General features: G+C 43.0%; 1 protein-coding gene across 11 annotated transcripts in view; it reads right to left on the bottom strand.

Moving 5' to 3' along the window:
- NAV2 (neuron navigator 2) overlaps positions 1-19,167 on the bottom strand; it is a 776,366-nt gene that overhangs the window by 619,775 nt on the left and 137,424 nt on the right. The gene's annotated exons all lie outside the window — the stretch shown is intronic.

The raw sequence follows: 19,167 nt of genomic DNA, 5'->3' as shown, positions 1-19,167 counted from the left end.
GAAAGAAGAGACGCCGGCTCATTTCTTATTCATGAAGTCACACTGCCAAGCTTCATTTGCATGAAGTAATTTCTGCTGCTGCTACCCTACCATAAAATAAATCCATTTCTCCTACAGTATCTAGTATCTTTACACTAAGAGAAATGAGTAAGCAATATGTGCTATAAGAACACACCCTTTGGACCATTTTAATCAGAAACATGTCTGTAGCTAGCAATAAGTGATTTTATAAGAATATAAAATGTTTTGGGCTCAACATACTCAAAGGCGACTCTGCCTCAAGATCTGTTTTTGGGAATGTGTTTAGCATTTCTTCCTGCTTGGCCAAACACTGAGGTTTTACAACCAGTGGAGTTGTGGAATTATAGCTACTGTACCATCAACCAGAAAGAAAAAGAAGAAGAAAGGTAGGCAGGTCGGTAGCCAACAGAATCCTAATTAGATGAGGTACTGGAAATGTAGATGACTCCATGTATATAGAGAGAATAGTGGTCCTGCAAAGATAACCACACCCTAGTTGCTGGAATCTGTGAATATATTACACGCAAAAGGGACTGTGCAAATGTAATTAAAATTAAGGACCTTGAGATGGGGGAGAATATTGTGTATTATCCAGGTGAGCATAATCTATTCATGCGAATCCATAAAAGTGGAGAAACTTTCCCCACTGTAGACAGTCAGAGAGAGATGTGATTACAGATGAATGTTCAGAGAGAGGCAAGGTTGCTGACTTTGAAGATGGAAGGAGGAGCCATGAACAAAGGAATGTGGGCACCCCCTAGGAGCTGGAAATGTCAAGGAAACAGATTTTGCCCCCAGAGCACCCAGAAAGAAACACAGCCCTTCCGATGCCTTGATTTTAGCCCAGTGAGACGCTGTCAGACTTCTAACCTATGAAAGTGTAAAATAACAAGTTTGTGTTGATTTAAGCCACTATGTTTGTAGTAATTTATTACAGCAGCCATTGAAAATTAGTATACTTTGTATCAAAAGATCTTTGCCACTCACTAGCTGTGTGACCCAGCCTGAGCAACCTTACCCATCAGAACTAGCATTCCTCAGGGAATCAGAGCAAATTAGATAAAGCATCTGAAAGTTTTATAAGTCTTAAAGTGCATTGCAGAGATAAGATTTTAATATCATTAGTATTGTTATTCCAGTCAATTATACTCTGTTCAAGGGATAGCCCACGAGGGATGGCTGGAATTTTCTAGTTCATAATGCTTAAAAGTAATTTAAGCAACTAATACTATCTTCCTCCTGACCAAATATTTTTCAGATGTGATAAAAGTAAATTTAAAAAAAGACAAGAGGTGCTTAATCATTTCTTCAGGACACTTTTCAAGCTCTATCCTGGATAGTAATTGGGGATAGGAATGGGTGTATCAGCTTTTTATTGCCACACTAACAGTATGTAACAAACTACCCTAAAAGTCTGTATCTAAAAACAAGAAGTATTTATTTCACTTATGAGTCTAGCTCTGTGATCTTGGGTGAGTGTGGCTGGACACTGCTGGCTGTGGCTCAGCTCACTCTTATGACATGGTCAAATGGCTGTTGGGTGACTGGTTCCTTCTTCACATGCCTCTCACCCTCCATCAGACCAGCCTGAGGAGCTTCTCATGGCCACGGAATAGGAGCAACAGTGGAAATGTGCCAAGGTCTTTGTAAGCCTCTGCATATGACATATCTCCGAAAATACCATTGGCTAAGACATATCACTTGGCCAGACTCAGAACCAAGTGGTTCTTTAGTGAAAGAAAATGCAAAGTGATGTGGCAAAAGGGCATGGAGAGGGTGTGTGTGTGCGTGTGTGTGGATGTGTGTGTGTGTGGTTGTGTGTGTGTGTATATATATATAGAATCAGGGCCACTGATAGAGTCAATTTACTACAGAGAAAAGCAAAGGAAATTTGCTTTATTTAAAATTTATTAAGGGCCTACTGTATGCTAGAACTCATCTAAGGGATAGGAGATAAACATAATCTACCCTATGCAGGGAATTTATATTCTAATAGTGTCTGAGATGAGTGCCTAAGGGGCAAAAGAACAACATTTGATGTGCTCTTATAACCTGCCAGGCCTGGGCCAGGCACTGAGGATATAGCTGTGAACCTTATATTATCACATTTACTCTACACAATAACCCTGAAAGATGGGTGTTATGCTTATCCCTATTTAATAGACAGGGAAACCAAGGCTGAGCAAGGTTAAGCTGTCTACATGCCCAAGTTCAAGATACAGAGATACAACTATCTCATTCCAAACCCCAGATTCATTCTGCTACACTCTGGAAGGCATTCCTTCACTGACTCAACACATACTTAAGTGCCTGTGCCAGGCACTGCTCACCTCTCCTTAGAAACGACTCACAACATTTCTCCCTTTGACTATCTGTCAGATTTCACCAACTGCAAACAGAATACCTGCCCTTTCCCACCTTGACCCCTGTGTGGGGTCAGCATGGTTAAGAGATGCTAAGTAACTCCTTTAAAAACAACAACAACAACCCTCTAGCAGGAACAATTTATCATCATTACTGTAACCCCTGGTTCACTTCAATCTTAGGTTCCTGGCCTTTTATTTATAGTACCTTCAAAGAGGTTCCACGTCATTAATTGCTCGCCATTTAGGCCAATTAGATGAGGTTAGAATTTCAGGGTAAATCAGCCCACACAGGTGGCAAAGGCAGCTGTGCCTGCCTGGTGTACTGGCTCTGCCTTTTAAGAAATATAACAGCCCAGAGGTCGTATGAACAGGTTGGCTAGGCTGTATGGCTTGCATGAAATGAATGAGCTATAGACAGATGTTGACCGTGGACTTAATTTCAACAACACAGACTGGAACATGGTGAGAAGTTTAAACTAATGATTTAACCATAGTACTTTGCTACTCAGTGAGGACAAACCTTGGGAGAAAAGCTTATAACAGAGCTGTCAACCTAGTGAATTAAACCTGGCTGAACAAAGCTTTGTACATCTGATTATGATGTGACATCCAACAGCACATGCGGAACCCAGATTCTTGAGAAGAATCTACTTCAGAGCAAGGACCTAAGCTTTCCATCTTTGGAACACAGCAGACAATAGTAGCTCAATAAATATTTGAGTAAGTAAATATGTGGATGAGTGAACAGATGGATCGATGGGCAGGCAGATGGATAGACGAAAGAATGTAACAGAATAAAATATGGGAATGAACAGGTAGGAATAAATGTTTGTTCAATAAACAAATGGATTTGTGAGTTTTAAAAAATGAAGTTACAAGATAGTTATGGGGGTGGATGGGAAAAGGAAGAAAACATTTCTTGAATACCTTCTGTATGTCAACACTTCATTTATATATTTTCTCACTGAGTTCTAACTGCACCTTTCCAGAGATGCCTTCATCATCTTCTGTTCAAGAAAAGCATACTGAGGCTCAGAGAGATTCCTCAGGGGACCTGGCCAAAAAAGCCACAGTTCAAACCTAAGTCTGCCAATTTTCTAAAGACTGTGCCCTCCCCCTTTTGGGGACCAACCTCCTGGTGTGGTAGATGAGGAAACCAAGGCAGGGAGAAATAGAATGATTTGACCACATCAGTGGCCCACGTGTAATAAGATCAGGGGGTGCTGCCTAGATCTGTTGTCCTCTTCTCTGGAGGAGCCACATGGTGAATAGGGATAGCCCAGAGAGACTGGAGCCATCAGGGCAGCACGCAGAGTGCTCAGAGCCTGGAGTCTGGAGCCAGGCTGCTGTGTCTGAATCCTGACTCTATCACTTCCTAAGTGCATGTCCTCGTGCAAGTCACTTAACTTCTCAGTGCATCAGTTTCCTTATGTGTGAAATTACGACGATGACAAAACGACCTCAGAATTACTGTGAGCACAAAATGAGCTCTGATAGTGTCTGGCTCAGAATCTGCAAGTAATAAGCATTAGCCCCTTCTTCCTAGAGTCTGCTGTTCCAAGCCACTTTTAATATTTTGCATTCCCAAATCTGGCAATCCCTGACTTAACACAGTGATGGAGCAGAAGACTTTCTGCTGGTTGATGTGTGCTTGGAAGCACAGAGCTGGGCTAACCGAGACACTCCAAAAGGGAATTCCATTTTCTGTCTGTGGCTTTAGGGTCACAAATTCAGGTGGCGGGCTCACCTGTAGGTTAGCAAAATTTATTCACTCCCACCTCATGATTAATGATTCCTGAAAGCTCAGAACCATGTGGACCCTGAGGCCAAGGCCTGCAGCTGTTTGTCTAACCATGGATGAGTAGGGACAATATACTGAAAATAGGAAGAGAGCCTGGGTAATGCGAGGCCATGAAAAGCCAAGGAATAGCAAACACACTAGACCACTCTAAGGAGGCTCCCACACTCACATTCTAAAGACTCCCACTCACCAGGGGAATTAACCATTTCTTCCATCATGTTCTGGCATCTTCTATCTCTGTCAAGGGGCCAAATCCCAGATGAAGGGGAGAGAGAGCTACCCGTTACTGAGCACCTACTATACACCAGACTATGTTTTACTTCACAAATTCTTATACGGCACTTACAATGTTCTGGGCACAGTCTAAGCACTTTCCAAACATTAACTCATTCAATCCTCATAACAACCTGTGAGGCAGAGACTGTCATTATTGCCATTTTACAGAAGTAGAAGGAGATGCACAGAGAGGTGAAGAAACTTGCTCAAAGTAAAACAGCCAATATGTGATAACACCAGGATTTAACCCCTTAACTTCTGCACTTTGGAATGGGTACCTGCTGGGATGGGTACTATCTTTAATTCTAAGAGCAAATGCAATGGCGGCTATTATACTCTCCACTTGACAGATGAGGGATCCAAGGCATAGAAAGATTAGGTAACGTATCCACACACAAATGGTAAAAGTCCAGGGTAACCCCAGGTCTCGATGAACTCAATGCCATTCCCTTGTCATTGAGAGCCAAGCTGGCCTTAAGCAAAAATAGTCAAGAAAACTGTTTTTGTTTGTTTTGTTTTGTTTCTGTTTTTGTTTTTTGTTTTTTAGTGATCACATTGTAAACTTTTTGGAATAATGCTAATTTCATGTCATTTTAAAATAGCTTGTTCATTCGATAGCATTATGGCAGCCAGCCTCTAAGACAGTCCTCAATGATCCTTGCCACCTAACATTCAGGCCCTTGTGTAGCACTGTTCACCCTGAACAGGACTAACCTGTGTAACAAACAGGATGCTGCTGACCTGATGTGTAGTGTGACTTTGGAGGCTAGATCATAAAATACACTGGGGCATCTGCCTTGTTCTTTCTTGAAGCACATGCTTTGGAGGAAGTCAGCTACCATGTTGTTAGCACACTCAAGCAGCCCTGACAAGGAACTGAGGCCTTCTCTTGCAATCAGCACTAACTTGCCAGGCATGTGGGTAAATCATCTCAGAAACAGGTCCTCCAGCCCCAGTCAAGCCTCCAGATGAATGCAGCCCCAGAAAACATCTTGAATGCAACCTCATGAGAGACCTTGAGCTGGAACCACGCAGCTAAGCTGCTCCTGGATTCCTGACCCAAAGAAATGGTGAGATAATAAATGTTTATTGTTTTAAGCCATGAAGTTTTGAGGGTAATTTATTACAAAGCAACATATAACAAATCATTACATATAAATTTTTCAATCTTTGGGGAGGCTTTTTAATCAGAGAAAAATATCTTGAGAAAAATAGTCACTTTGTGACTCTGAATCTCACCCAATGCTAGAGCCCCCATTTTCACTCTCTTTACCCCTAGTTTATAGAGAGATGCCTACTTTTCTGCTTCTTCGTTTCTGGAAGCCTCCTGCACTCTTTGGGTCTCAGCTGTATCCACTGTGTCAGAAGGGAGGTGGGATGATGTGATCCCCAAATCCAACATTAGCCTCCCTTAGACCTGCTCCCGCATCCTCTGTCCTTTTTCCCCATCTCCTCTCCCGCTGTCACTGACCCCCACATCTGCTTATACATCACCTTATCAGAGAAGTGGACAGCAACATCTGCCACTTGTTCTCCCTTAGCAATCTATTCTTCTCTGATTTATTTTTTTCTACAAGTTTTATTACTATATATAATATATAAAATTACACATAAAAATATGTATATTTACATGCAATATAAAGTTAGATATATGTAATTTTTTTGTTTATATTCCCTCTCTCATCCATGCATTTAGGCTTTATAAGAGCAGATATACCTGTGCCTAGAATAAATCCTGGAACACAGGAGATGCTCAATAAATGCTTGCTGAATGAATGGATGGATAACAGAATAAATGAATGACAGCTCATTTCTAAGTATTTTCTGTAAGTTCTGCAACCTAGAGGTGTTAGGCAATGTATTAAGTAAGCTGTATGTCACCAGCCAGTGTCACCACCTCTGGGCAGCTTTCCCTTTACCAGGCTTAATTGAGGGCTCTCTCTGCTCACAGCCAGGTTTGCTTCCCTCTCTTATTGCAGGAAACACACCACACTACAGTGGTCTGTTTATAGCCTGTCACTCCCTTTAGAGTCTGTGCATCTGGATGGCAGGGGCAGGGACTACTTCATTTCTGGATGTCCCATTCCTAATGGAGAGCCTGGTGCTTGCTTGCTGAATTGAATGAAGGAAACCACCAATGTGAGATAAGGAAAGAACAAATACATAAATGAAAAGAGCTTTTCCAAGGGAACTCAGCTGTCACAGGCTGAGCTGACAGCTGAGTTCATGCTGTGACCTAAGGGGCTGATAAGTGTCCCCTCCAAACTGTCCAGTCCACAAGTTATCCATGGGTCCTCTGGAGACCCAGGCCCTAAGGCCTGCCTGCTTCAAGCAGCAATGAGTTTTCCTGTCAGGGGGTTCCTGACCTGTGCCCACCAGGATTCTCCTCTGAGGACAGAGGTCAGTCCCACCAGGGGCAGAGAAAAGAATGAGTTGCCCTAGTCCTAATCAGAAGCCTGCAGCACCACAACAGCCCGGGGGGTCAGCTGCTGGAGGCTAACCCAGAATGGGGAGAGGAGGGTAGTGGAGCCCCAAAGACCAGCCATGCAGGCTCTCATTCTACACTCAGCAGCCTTCCTCCTGTAGGGCAGGCTATGCAGGGCAAGTGTTCAGGAATCTAGGTCATCCAGTGGTTTTCCACCAGGTTTCACATCAGTATTACATCTTCCAGAGACTCAGGAAACCCGGGGTGGGGTCTTTGTATCCTTATAATTAATAAGCTCCACAGATGACTCTGATGCATGACCTGCGTTGAGAACGTCTACATTTAGATCACAAGTTTTGCACCACACACATATAGGTTTCACCCCTGGCTCAGCTACAATGATATGTGTGGCATTAATTCTGTGTCTTAGTTTCTTTATCTGTAAAATGGGGACAACTTTACTGGGAAGTGGGAGGATTAAATGGCATATCAGCCTTTCCTAACAAAGAGCACATATTCATTAGTGTGTAGTAAATACTAGTAAGTGGCAGCTCAAAGAAGAATGATTTGGGGCCTAGGGGGAAAGAAAAATTTATGGGCCAAAGTGTTGTCACTTGTGAGCCAAGAGTTCAGAGGACCCAAGAGATCCTGAGTCCCTAGACAATTAAATGCATACCTATTTATGACAGGAAGCCCCCAGCCAGTGTTTTCTCCACCCACAGTGACCTAACTGGCTCAATCCATGGCCCTCTTGCCACTTCTTTCAGCTGCCTTGTCTTCTGTTCCAAGAAGGTCTGTTCCTTCTCCAGGAGAGTCACACACCACAGCACCTGGGTCAGTCACTTGTGCATCTGTTGGGGTCCTGTGTCCCAGGGGCCACTGCTCTGCAGAGCTCAGTCTGGTCTGCAGGGATCAGGCCAGTGTCAGTCATCTCCACAGCTACAGATCCAGCCAGAGGGAGATCAAACAGTTCTCCTGCTAAGAGGATTTGTAAAATACACAGCACATTAAGCATAGGCAGCTATTGGTCTGATACATTGCTTTCTTTCGGGCCTTTCTTTTTAAGGAGGGAAAATAATTTTTCTTACTGCAAATAGAGAATTGAACTCCACTCTCTGGGTGGCATTCATTAAGTTCAGAGCACTTCCTCCAGGTCAGAGAAGATGCTAGAAGGGAATGGTCAGGAGGGATGGCAGAGAATGCAGCAACTGTCCCAGGCAGCTCTAAAGGGATATCTGTCTCTCCAATCCCACCTGCCACATGCCTCACCCTTAAGGCTCCATCCGGTGGCAGTCCCAGGGGACTTCGTCAGCCAGCTGGCAGGGGAGGTGCTTTCTGTTCACAAATGCCCTGCAGAACTGGCCTCTCCAGGGATTGGTATAGCTCAGGGATGCCGAGCTTTTTTATAATAGAGGAATGACAAATCATGTTTAATCATAAATTTTAACAATATTTCATGCTCATGGACATACCATAGACATTACAGAGAGGCTTTAAGAAGAAGGGAAAATTACTAAAATTCACCTCTTAGAGATAAAAGCTATTGGCGTGTCTCTCTCCTAAGTTTTTCAATAGATTCCTACATAGTTATGAGATCATGCTGTATAAATATGTATGTGATATGATTTTAAATTTCCGCTAATGTGCCTTTAATCACCTTCATTGTGGTGGTAGTGGTGCAGATACCTTTAATTCCAGTATAGTATTCTATTGGAGGAGAAGGATAATGGGGGGAGGGAAGAACCAATTAGGAGGAGGAGAGAGGGGAGGGGGCAGGGGAGTAGAGAAGGATTGCTAGCCTCCACCCAGTGATTAACCTGAGCTGGGCACTGTGTGAAGTGCCTTATGTACATTCTTTAATTTTACCCATATAGCAACATTATCGACCTGGACGATTATTATCAGCCTACTTTGTACATAAGAAAACTGTGGCTCAGAGAGGTAAAGTAGAAGGTGCTCCAGTGATAGAGACATTAAGGAGCTGAGGTGAGACTTAGAATCTGGTCCAGCCCCAGGCTTCACCTCCGGAACTCTAAGCCACTGACTTAGGATGTACCGTGTCACATCTAACCTCTCCTCCCTCGGTGAAAATATAGGCATCCATTTGCTTTTGTAATAATACGAGTATTGAATATCTTTGTCCATGTGACTTTAAGCATTTGTCTTATTATAGCCTTTGGATAAAATCCTGAAAGACAAAATTTTTAAGTTTTTATAAAGGAGAGCCTTTATATCTATTGGGATTTGCTTTTGCTAAATAGGACAGAGGAAGTCAAAATAGCAATTGTTTAAATAGACAAATGTTTATTTTTATATAAGAAGTTGGGAGGTGGGCAGAGCTGATACTGTGCCCCATGAAGTGGAAGCTGGCCCCTTCCAGCTTACCCTCTGATTTCCCTAGAATACGGTTTTTATCCTCATAGTACAAGATGGCTGCTAGAACTACAGCCATCACATCCAAATTTCAAGCAGCCAGATGGATGAGGAGACGAAGAAAGTGTGCTCCCTCTCTTTCAGACACATGCTGATATTTAACACAGTAAATTTAGGGACATATCCACATTTGGCTACGAGGGAAGCTGAGAAATAGTGGCATACCTTGTTTCATTGTGGGTTGTTTTAATTTGCCTCACAGGTATTGAGTTTTTTTTTTTTTAAACAAATTGAAAGGTTGTGGCAACCCTATGTCTAGCAAATCCACTGGTGCCATTTTTCCAATAGCATGTGCTCACTTCATGCCTCTGTGTCACAGTTTGGTAATTCTCATAATATTTCAAACATTTTCATTATTATTGTATCTGTTATGGTGACCAATGATCAGTGATCTGTGATGTTACTATTGTTTTGGGTACCACAAACTGTGCCCAAGATTAGATGGCAAACTTAATCAATCAATAAATGTTATATATGTTTTGACTTCTCCATTGAATGGCTCTTTCCCCATCTCTCTTTCTCTCTCTCTCTCTCTCTCTCTCTCTCTCTTTGAGTCTCCCTATTCCCTGAGACACAACAATACTAAAATTAGGCCAATTAATAACCCTACAATGGCTTCTAAGTGTTCAAGTGAAAGGAAGAGTCGCACATCTCTCACTTTAAATCAAAAGCTAGAAACTATTAAGCTTAGTGAGGAAGGCATGTTGAAAGCCCAGATAAGCTAAAAGATAGGCTTTTTGCACAAAACAGCCAAATTGTGAATGCAAAGAAAAAGCTTTTGAAGGAAGTTAAAAGTGTTATTCCAGTGAACACACAAGTGATAAGAAAGCAAAACAGCCTTATTGCTGATATGGAGAAAGTTCTAATTGTCTGGACAGAAGATCAAATCATCCACAACATTCCCTTAAGCCAAAGTCTAATTTAGAGACACGACCTAAATCTCTTCAATTCCACGAAGCCTGAGAGAGATGAGGAAGCTGCAGAGGAAAAGTCTGAAGCTAGTAGAGGTTGGTTCATGAAGTTTAAGGAAAACAGCCACCTCCATAACATAAAAATACAAGGTGAAGCAGCAAGTACTGATGGGGAAGCTGCAATAAGTTATCCAGAAGTTCTAGCTAACATCATTGATGAAGGTGGGTACACTAAACAACTGATTTTCCGTGAATATGAAACAGCATTCTATTGGAAGAAGATGCCATGTAGGACTTTCATAGCTAGAGAGGAGACTCAATGGCTGGCTTCAAATCTTCAAAGGACGAGCTGACTCTCTTGTGAAGAGTTCATATAGCTGGTAACTTGAAGTTGATGCCAATGCCCATTTACTACCCTGAAAATCCTAGGGCCCTTAAGGATTACACTACATCTACTGCTTGTGCTCAGTAAATGGAATGACAAAGCCTGGATGAGACCCCATTCATTTACAGCATGGTTTACTAAATATTTTAAGCCCACTCTTGAGACCTACTCCTCAGAAAAAAATATTCTTTTCGAGATATTATTGCTCATTGACAATGCACCTGGCAAAAGCTCTGATGGAGGTGTACAAGGATATTAATGCTATTTTTCTGCCTGTTAACATAGCATCCATTCTGCTACCCAGGGATCAAGGAATAATTACAACTTTGAAGCCTTATTATTTCAAAAATACATTTCAAAAGGCTATAACTGCCATGGATTATGATTTCTCATATGGAGCTGAGCAAAGTAAATTGAAAACCTTCTGGAAAATTTCACTATTCTAGATGCCATTAAGAACATTCATGATTCATGGGAGAAGGCCGAAGTATCAACATTAATGGAAATTCGGAAGAAGTTGATTCCAATCTTCATGGATGGCTTTGAGAGGTTCAAGACCTCAGTGGAAGAAGTAACTATAGATGTGGTGTAAATAGCAAGAGAACTAGAATTAGAAGTGGATCCTGAAGATGTGACTGAATTGCTGCAATCTCACAATAAACTTAAATGAATGAGAAGTTGCTTCTTATGGATGTGCAAAGAAAATGGTTTCTTAAGATAGAATCTATTCCTGGTGAAGATGCTGAGAACGTTACTGAAATTCCAACAAAGGATTTAGAATATTATATAAGCTTATTTAATAAAGCAGCAGCAGGGTTTGAGAGAACTGAGTCCAATGTGAAATAATTTCTACTGTGGGTAAAATGCTATCAAATAGCATCACATGCTACAGAGAAATCTTTTGTGAAAGGAAGAGTCCATTGATGTGGCAAACTTCATTGTTGACTTATTTTAAGAAATTGCCACAGCCATGCCAACTTTCAGTTACTGCCACCCTAATCAGTCAGCAGCCATCAACATTGAGGCAAGACCGTCCACTAGCAAAAAGATTGTGACTCACTGAAGGCTCAGATGGTCATTAGCACTTTTTGGCAATAAAGTATTTGACAATTAAGGTATATACATTATTTCGAGAAATAATGCTATTGCATCTTAATAGACTATAATATAGCATAAATATAACTTCTATATGTACTGGAAAAATAAAAAATTCATGTGACTCACTTTATTGCGCTGGTCTGGAACTGAACCCGCGATATCTCCAATGTATGCCTGTATAGTGTTTAACTGGGTGGGAATATGTGTCCAGCTAAATATTGGGGTTCTGGGACTGTGGAATAAAGAAGAATGTATATCCCAGCCTCCTGTGGATCCCGTGACAGTGTTCCTCTCATGGAGCAGTGGAAGTCAGGAAACAGTTTGGGGGAGAAGCATCTATCTTTGTTAGAAATATTATAACAATAGCCAGATGGACTCAGTACGTAGTATATCCCAATACTCCACAAGACAATTCTCATATGTCATCTCTGATCTTACAGTGAGAGAGCTGAGAATCAGGCACAGGTGATTCTCTAGCATGTGCTGAGCACCAACTCCGTGTAATTTATTTTAACTTCTGACATCCAAGCTGTTGTTTTGCCTCACAAGATGTGCTCCTGTAAGTCAGAGACTGTGACCCTCATTTAATGGATGAAGAACTGAGATGTAGGAAGTGATAAAAGTTACTCAAATCTGCCTGTGAGTAGTAAAACTGGAATTAAGCACTACTCTGTATGAAACTATAGTCTCTGCCTTCCCACATCATAGTACACAGTGTTCCTTTATTTTCTAAGAAATGTATCATTAGAAGTGACAGCAGAGGTAGAAAGACATCACAATTTTCACATTGCCCTTCTTCTTCCCCTCTCTCTCCCATAGAAGCTTAAGACAACAATGTTGGGTCTCAGGGTTTGAATTATTTGCAGATGCGGCTTCAATTAAGGTGTAGACCCTTGGGAAAGGGACACTGGGACCTTGTATCTTCACAGTATCAGAGACCCCCCCTCAGCTGAGACAGTCTCATCACCTCTTCTGTGGGGTAAAGGGAACCTTCTGGATACTTCTTTCTCTGTCCATGGAGAAACAGACCCTCAGACAGTAGAAGAGATGCTGAGTTCTGGGCCCAGGCCAGGATTGACTGAATGGTAGACTCCTGAGAGCAGATTCCCAATGTCCTTTGAGTCACTGTCTGTCCAAGTGACTCAAAGCATCCTGGGGGAGAAAACTGTCTGCTTTACCCCAAAGAAAGCAGGACAGACAGGGTCACCCTCTAGACTGGAAGACCTGTCAGTAGGCATGTGAAATACTGCATGAAGAGTTTGGACTCATGCCTTGCCCATAGTAAGTACTCAATAAATGGCCACACCTGGTCATTCATTTGTACATTATTTGTATTTGTACAGGTATTTGTATATAATTATGTCAATAATAATGCAAAGGTGGAATTTATTATTTGTTATTATTAGGTGTCACTATTGAGCAATAACTAGCTGCTAATTTTCTATGCATTATTGAATTTAATATTTCTAACAATGCTGTGGAATAAGTATTACGATCCCCAATTTAGAGGTAAAGCAACTGATGATTTATGAAATCACTCCCTGTAGGGTACACATCTGGGAAGGACAAAAGTGAGATGCTAACCCAAGGCCATCTGACCCCAGCTTTCCCTCCCTCACCTTTATCTTGCCATCTATACATTTGTGCCACGTGATTAAGCATAATTCATAATGCGCTGCTTTAGTTGTTCTCAATGAGAATACTCTCTATCCATAGCCATTCCTGTTTAGCAATGCCTGCACATTGAGTGAGTATAAAGGATGACAGTCTCAAATGCACTGAAGTGTTATTGCGACTAATAAAGCTAGTTATAACATCACTGTATTTAGAGTAGCTTCTTTTCATTTTGCATCTTTTCAATCAACGGATACAAAAAGCAAAATTACTAAGGTGGAGGAGGGCAGTGGTCCCAGAAACCTTGCAGTTCTGATTCACCAACCCAACCCCTTTATTTTACACATGGAGAAATTGTGGGAGAAAGAGGGGCACTGCCATGTCTGGGATCACTTAGTGACAGCATGTGATATTTATCTTGCTTTCCTGAAGCTGGAGGAGGTGGGGAACGTACTTCCTAATTTTTAGGATGTCTCTGGCTTTTTACATCCATGACTCCCCTAAACTCTAGAAGCATGCATTAGCTATCTCTTGATGTGCAACAAATTATCCCTAAACTTTGTGGCTTGGAGCAACAACAGTTTGTGTCTGTCAGTAAATCCAAAGACAGTTCAACTGGGTCCTCTACTTTGTACTTTGGGGTCTCTTACAGGCTGAAATCAAGGTACTGGCTGGGGCTACAGTCATGGCTTCTGAGGTACAGGGTCCCAGAGGGAGATTATAAGTGGATGCATCTAAACCCTGTCAAAGTTTAATGGGAAAAATTCACTTCCCAGCTCACTTGCATGGTTGTTGGCATGAATCAGTTCCTTGCAGGCTGTTGCACTAAGGGTCTTAGTTTCTCACTGGCTGTTGGCCAGAGGTTGCTCTCAGTTCTTGCCACATGGACCTATGTAACATGGCTTCTGACTTCACCAAAGCAAGCAGTCCAAGAAGGCTATAGAAAGAGTTCCGCAGGATGCAAGTCACAGCCTTTTGAAACCTAATATGGAAGTGACATCCCATCTCTGTCACCATGTTCTTCATCATTTTTTCAATCCTTCCTCATATGGAAGCAAGTTAGAAGCAAGTCAATAGGGGAGAGGATTACCCGAGGGGTGAATACTGGAGGCAGGGATCATTGGAAACGTGTCAAATGTTGCTTATTACAGAGTATCAGCTCCTTTTCCCATTTTGAGAAGCTGTTACTTTACCTTATGAGGAACATTTTTAACAGGAATGCCTTTCAGCACTGAATCAACAGATCCACTTCAAGGTGACCTTGCAAGTGATGAGTCTTTACATTCTAAAATTGTTAAGTCAGTTCTACTGGCTGCATCCTCTCTCTGCTTCAGACCCAGGCTCAGAGAGCAGGACAGCTGGAAGGGACCTCAATGCCCTCTAGGTATTTTCTAGATAAAGAGGCCCAGTGAGGGAAAGCCACTTACCCAGGTAATGTGCCTGAGCCCTATTCTTTGGTCTTTAGCCCCAGAGCCTCTAATGGTAGAGGCAGTCCACTCCTATCCTTATCATCCTCTTAAGTCCAGGAGAAAACACTTGGTTGCAACTTTCCCTAGGCATCCTGTGGGGCTTGCAGGAGCTCTTTTCTTGCTGACTCAACGATCCCAGAAGGTGTTCCAATGGATAGAAGATTGTTTCACATCTGAAGAACTACCCATTCATTCCTTCATTCACTAATTCATGGGTGGCTTCAGAGAGAAGATGATGCCTGAGCTGAGTCTTGAAGGATGAAAGATAGAGAGAGTGACGGTATTAGTCCATTCTCACACTGCTATAAAGAACTACCCAAGACTAGGTAATTTATAAAGGAAAGAGGTTTAATTGACTCACAGTTCCACATGTTTGGGGAGGCCTCAGGAAATTTACAATCATGGTGGAAAGAGAAGCAAACACGTACTTCTTTACATGGTGGCAGGAGAGAGAAGTGCCGAGCAAAAGGGATAAAAGCCCCTTATAAAACCATCAGTTCTCGTGAGAACTTACTTACTATCACGAGAACAGCATGAGAGTAACCGCCCCCGTGATTACCTCCCAATGGGTCCCTCCATGACATTTGGGGATTATGGAAACTACAGTTCAATATGTTCAAGATGAGATTTGGGTGGGGACATAGCCAAACCATATCATTGGCTAAGGCAGAAGTACCAGAAAGACCAAAGGCCTGAAGGATTGAAAAAATGACGAGGAAGGCCATCACCTAGTGGCTTCAGAGGCACAGGGTCCCAGGAAGAGACTATAAATGGATGCACCTAAGACCTTCCTGTTTCCGGGCAGCCAGCCTCAATTCCACCCACAGCTACTCTGCTACCACCCACCTTTGCTTGGTTGGCTTTGTAGTCCAGAGGCTATACTGGGCAAACATCAGAGGAAGGGTGTTTTGCACCTGTTTTCAGGGCTACTGTGGGGTGATGCTTTTGCTGTATCTCATTCCTGAAGGGCTGCCTCACCCTATTGAGAGGAACAAACCTCAAGGGCAGTGCCAAGCTTGTCTGCTGGCATCAGGTGGAGGGTGCATGGTGGAGGAGGCTCTTGCATTCATTTCTGCCCAGCCTCTTTTCTCCTGCCCTGCAATCAGGTTCAAGCTTTCCCTGTATACTGTAATAACACAAGCCTGGCAATGGCACAATTGGGAAACAAGTCATGTTTGTTCCATGGCATCTTTATTCCATAGTATCCCACCCCTGGACACTCTACCCTGTAACTCGGATCCATCCCCTGGTCTCCCCACACTAGCTCTTGGTCTCTTTCTTTCCTTTTAAAAAAAAAAATCCTTAATAGATCCTCCCATATAAAAACTCATCCTACCTCTTACTGTCCTTTCAAGAATCTTTTCCATGGGAAGAAAATTTAACCTAATGGGCATTAATGGGTGGGAATGAGTTTGTTGAATTGCCTTCCCTGGTGCCATATTTAAATATTCACAGTTGATTTCTGGAGACTATGTCTCCCCAAAGGAGTGATTGCAGTTTTTGAATTAATAAGGTCAGTGAAGATATTTGGGAGTGGATGGGCCTTTAAATGTCCCTCAGTCAAGCCCTGTGTGTTGGTAACTTCCTGCTAGTCTGGTCCCAGGCTAGAAGAGAGGGTAGAGATGAAGCAACTTGCTCTTTCTGATTCTCTATTCTCTCACCTCCCACTTGGACCTGAAACCCAGTTGGATATCTCAAGTCAAAGGTCCTGGGAATGAAAAGTCAGGGCTAGACAGAGCCTTGGATAACACCACATCTTGACCCCTCCACATATCCACATTTACACTTTGTGAATAAGGAGACATCACCAAGCAGGGAAAGCAACTTGCCTAAGGACACAGTTATGGCAAAGTAAAGCTCTTAGGCCCCTAGATAAGGACCTTTGCACTATGATAGTTCCAGGGGTCCACAGGAGTTGCCTGTGATATGTTCTAGGGCAAGGCCAAGGTGGGGAATGGAATAACTGAGTCTGTAGCCTGGGCCTCTGGGCCTCTAGTGCACAGGAAGGACTGAAGGTATCCCAAGACACAGGAATTTCTCCTGGTCTTGGGGCCACAGCTGTCCCATGGATAGAGGATTGTTCTACATCTGAGGAACTGCACATTCATTCACCACACAGGGTCCTCCCTCAGATCTGTCTGGATGGGTGCTGGCTGGGGCAGGAAAGCAGGCAGGTTAAAGCCAGACCCCATGCCAGGTGCCAGAGCCAGCATTGCAACTAAGAGTTTTCCCTTACACCTGTGGGTCCATCCATCAACACTTTCTCTGCCTGACCCCAGCAGCCTGTTGCTGTGGGGCTGGAGAGGATGTCGGGTGGAGAGCTGGGGGCTCAGGGGCTGGCCAGGCTGATGAGGAAGGGGTCTGGGTCAAGATGGACAAAGCCTATTTCTGCCTCCTCCTGAGAAAGAAAGAATACCAGAAGTTGGAACTTTCTCCAAGAGGGATCCAACCCTGAGAATAGGATGCTGTCATCCCAAGGTCTAGGAGAATGGACCTCAAGGTCTAGGCAAAGGCCTCTCAGTGTCAAGAGCCAAAGTGTCCCTGCCTCTAGGCACAGGAAGTGTCAGTTGGCTAAGCTGCTCTTTTGGGGACTGTTTTCCAGGGAATATATGATTCCTAAGAAGAGATGCTTTCTAACAGCCAGAGCTTTGGAATAGTGGAACAAGCTCCCTTGGAGGAGGTGACCTCCCTGTCATCAGAGATGTATAAGAAACAATTGAACCAGTATCTGAGGATGCTGCAGAGGTCACCGACCCCAAAGTACCTTCCAACCTCTCAAGATAGGAAGCAGCACAGTGCAGAAGAAAGAGCCAGGCTTTAATTAACATACTCATTCCTTAGGGGTCTTGGAAAGCTCTGAGACTTGGGGTGTGTGTGTGTGTGTGTGTGTGTGTGTGTGTTTGTGATCAGTCACAAATCCAAGGTCATGCAGGGCGTGGAGGAGATGGAGATCAGTGTAGCAGAACCCAAGACGCAGAAGAGGCAGTACTTTAATTAGCAAGAAGGCACGCGGAGCACACCTCCCAGTGGTCTGTGACACTCCAGAGGGGTGGGGCCCTATGGATAAGGCCCGTTGAGTTAAAATTTGGGTTCTAGAATCAAGAAACTTTGTTTTCATTCTGGCTCTGCTGCTTCCTGGGGCATGTCATTTTACCTCTGTGTGCCCCAGTCTTGTCTTCTGAAAGACAAGAACAGTGGTCCCCCCTTAACCTTGCGGGATGCATTTCTAGACCCCCAGTGGTTGCCTGAAACTGTGGATAGTACAGAACCTGATGGCTGTTCATCAGAACACGTTTCTGTTTATGTCATCTGCCAAAAAACTTAATACCTTTTCCATCTTAGTGAAGCACTTATCACGCACCGTGGCCATTACTTTTACAGTATAAGGTGGGACAGCAAAACTAGTATGCATTTTTTTCCTTCTTCACAATTTCCTCCTTCTTAGCAACCTCAGCATATCACTTTTTTTCTTTTCTTATTAAGTTGAGAACTTTCACCTTTTCACTTAAAGGTAGCACAGCATTTCAAGCCTTCTCTTTGGCACAACGAAATTTCCAGCATCACTACCCTTGTGCTTTGGGGTCACTATTAAGTGCAATAATGGTTACTTGAACAGAAGCACAACAATACCATGACAGTTAACGTGATAACTAAGATAGCTACCAAGTGACCAATGGGTGGGTGGCATCTACAGAAAAAATACACTGGGAAAATGGAGGATTCATGTTCTGGGCAGAATTTCATCACACTACTCAGAATGACATGCAATTGAAAACTTAAGGATTGTTCATTTCTGGAACTTTTCATTTAATATTTTCAGACTGTGGTTGACCACAGGTAACTGAAACCATGGATAAGTGGGGGGCTACTATATACTAATAGTACTTACTTGCCTACAACAAATTGTTTTGAGGATCTTGTTTAATTAGAGAGCAGACTAAAGGACTTAACACTGTGTCTGGCAAGTGGCAAGCTTGGCTCAATAAATGGAAATTGGTATTCATTTTAAGACATGGGATGTGGGAAAGGCAATGGTGCACAACAGCCAAGAGAGACATGGTGGGAATGTAAGCTGCTGCCTTGCCTCATCTCTCCCTATGAACAACTCCCTACAATCCATACATGCATGCACATATACACATATGCAAGTGTGTATCTGTGGAGTCCCCATACCTCTCCAGCACACTGGCACTTAGGGAAAGGCTGAAATTGATCCCAACTGCCTTAAAGAGAATACCCATTTACCCATGTCTTAAACAGTACTAAGGTATGTTGGGCGTTGCTCAGGTGGTCCTGATATGCATTCTCCTCCATGCCACTGCCCATCCGACCAGCTCCAGATGACTTCTCAGCCTCTCTGGACCTTGC

The sequence above is a fragment of the Homo sapiens genome, chromosome 11 (assembly GCF_000001405.40).
Source record: "Homo sapiens chromosome 11, GRCh38.p14 Primary Assembly".
Taxonomy (NCBI): Eukaryota; Metazoa; Chordata; class Mammalia; order Primates; family Hominidae; genus Homo; species Homo sapiens.
This window is presented reverse-complemented; position numbering and strand designations above follow the sequence as displayed.